Below are 2,644 nucleotides of genomic sequence, written 5' to 3'. Positions count from 1 at the left end.
AGACACCGAACCTCAGAAAACACCCATTCTTGAGGACAGCATCAGGGTAGGATTTGAGGTCAGGCCAGGCAGATGACCCCCTTTAGATCCCAGGACTCTGGGCTCCATGACAGCAAATCTGGCCACAGTGTGTGTGTTGGCAGTGGGTGTGGGGCAGGGGGCGCTGCTGATTGGCAAGGGCTCTTAGGAGTGTCTGGCTCCTACCCCCTGTTGGAAAATACAGTACACTTATGCATGCTTTGAAATTGAACATCTGTCCCCAATAATGTATGGCAATGGACATTTTCATTTTGAGTTAATGAAATTTCCATTTTTTAATAAAAAAATAGATAATGAATGAGACTGACAACATGAATGAAAACTCTCAGTTCTCGAAAACAAGCAGCCAATCTCATCACCAACAGAACTCAAGAGTGTTCAGGACACCTCTGCAATTCCTCTGAGCAAGGCCCACACTGCGAACCCAGCCCTGCTCAGTCCAGTGAGCTTGGAGATCTAGCCAGCAGCAGTGCCCAGCTGTGGGGTGATGGAGAGTCCGGGGCTCATGGAGAAGGTGGCCTTGGGAACACATGTGTTAGGGGCCGAGGATGCAGGTGCACACTACCAGGGAGGATGGGATTGCCTTTGTAAATTAGATCTTCCTATTGCAGGTTTGTGCAGCCTGGCCTCTAATTCCTAGGCCAGAAATTAACTCCAAATTCCAGACTCAGGTCTCCCTGCTGACCTGTGAATGTGAGTCAACTAAAATGGTAGAAATAAGATTCTTCTGGTTTCATGGAACGTCTTGCAAGACTGAAGGCCACTGCAGTCAACTTCTGACCTTGAGGGGTACTCTCAGCTCAGATTCTTTGTAATTAATCCTACTCAACTTTGGTAAAGTGATGACAACAGAACTTAGTTTATGATCTCATTTATCACCCTCCTTGTCACTAAAATACGAGATGCAAGTGCTCCACCCAAATATTTGAAGAAAAGCCAGCGAATGCAAAGTGTAAATTCCTTCCCAGCATCATTGGCTTGTGAACTTGTCAAGGGGTGGCTCTGAGTGCTGAGCTCCTTGCAACTGCCTCCTGGGATTTGCTTGTGAAGAAAGGAAGGGAACAGATTCAAGTCAGATTTTGCCTTGGGAGCCCATCTTGCTCTAGGCCAAATTAAATGCATGTATTCCATTAGTATGTGGTAAGAGATTAAAATTATGATAGAATTGGCTGGTCTACAGTCTTCTAGAACAAAAAACGGCAACTGTTTGCTTGTGGGAGGGAAGCATTTGTGAGTTTTTAAAAATCTGAAAATGAGAATAAACATTCATATGACTCATGGATTAGTCAGACCGTGTATGTTTTTCCCCAACTCCCTGGAGCAACTGACATAATCAAGGTGCTCATTGGCTAAGTTGACCTTCTCCTCACCCACACTACTGAAGTAGAATCTAGTTGCCTTTCCTTAGCCTCCACCCGCACAAGCGTCATCCTGGCTGTTCTAAGCAATGACAACAATGGACAAACATAGAGGATGAGGCAGACATTCAGAGTTGTGCAACTTAGTATTATGCCCTAGTTTGTGCAAGAGGGTCAAGTCTGGTGTTTCTGGGTAATTTCTCAAATATGTCTGGAAAATATTTTTTACACTTTTTTCCCCCAGATGGCAGAATTCGAACAACATGTGGAAGATTTATGAACAACATTTTGGGCTCAGTATAGGGAAAGACTTTCTAAAGAGAGTTGCCCACCCATGCCAAAGTCCATCTCGAATTATCCCAACTTGAAAGCATTTTCAGTGGGAGCTGAACAACAATCAGTCAGGGATGCTTTCAAGGGGTGGACTTCAGCAGTCACAGTTGGTGACCTGCCCATAGGCCCCCGCGGCCTCCAACTGGAGGTGCTTGCAGCTCTGTCTTAAGGCTTTCTCTGCAAGGAGGATCAAGCCAGAAATACCAGGGAGTTAAAGGCACCCCTGGGAACAACCCTCACCCAGTGACTGACAAGAGTTGGTGGGTAAAGACCCCAACTTTCTTACTCCTCAGGTTGGCCAACACTGATGCACATTCTATAATTGGCCGGAGGTCCCCCGTGGGATTGGGCCCAGCCCCCACAGCAGTCAATGATGCTCCTTCTTGCATTTTTCCGATCTTTCATTCTGCATTCACCCAACAGTGCTTCCTGGAATCACCCTCAAAATAATTACTTGTGCTCAAATCCTTGTCTCAGGGGCTGCTACTGGGGGAGCCCATCCTAAGAAAGGGGGTTTGTGCATTGGGTGGTTAGGTTGTGGGAGGAAAAAAAATGAATCTCACCCTCTGGAACCTTGAAATCTAAACCTAGGAAGAAGAAAAAGAAAGACAATTGATACTGGTTTGAAGATGAAGAGGCTGGAGTCAGGATCAACTGAGCAACCACTGACCATGCCCTGAGGACCAGGAAGAACTGAGGACCAGGAAGACGTGCCCCAGGTATGACGGACACTCAGAGAGTAGCCCTGCATTTCCCAGAGGAAATACATCCTGAATCCCAGAGATGATTGCAGGTGAAACTTCACAGCTACTTCTTACACCTCTGACTCAAGTTTGTTCTTTAATTTCCAAGGGCTTCCTATGCTATATCTATGTAAAGACAGTGAATGCACAGTAATGGTGGCATTGCAAATC

At 46.1% G+C, this 2,644-nt stretch overlaps 1 annotated feature.

The window, feature by feature from the left end:
• Positions 1,040 to 2,239: an enhancer, noted in NCBI's record as "CDK7 strongly-dependent group 2 enhancer chr2:239592463-239593662 (GRCh37/hg19 assembly coordinates)". NCBI's record gives its function as "activates an origin of replication core promoter dependent on BRD2, BRD4, P300/CBP, MED14 and CDK7 cofactors, with strong dependence on CDK7, by STARR-seq in HCT116 cells {active_cell/tissue: HCT116}" and the evidence as "EXISTENCE:reporter gene assay evidence [ECO:0000049][PMID:35650434]".

This window comes from Homo sapiens, chromosome 2 (assembly GCF_000001405.40).
Source record: "Homo sapiens chromosome 2, GRCh38.p14 Primary Assembly".
Lineage (NCBI taxonomy): Eukaryota > Metazoa > Chordata > Mammalia > Primates > Hominidae > Homo > Homo sapiens.
The sequence above is the reverse complement of the archived record's forward strand: the minus strand, read 5'-3'. Positions and strand labels throughout refer to the sequence as shown.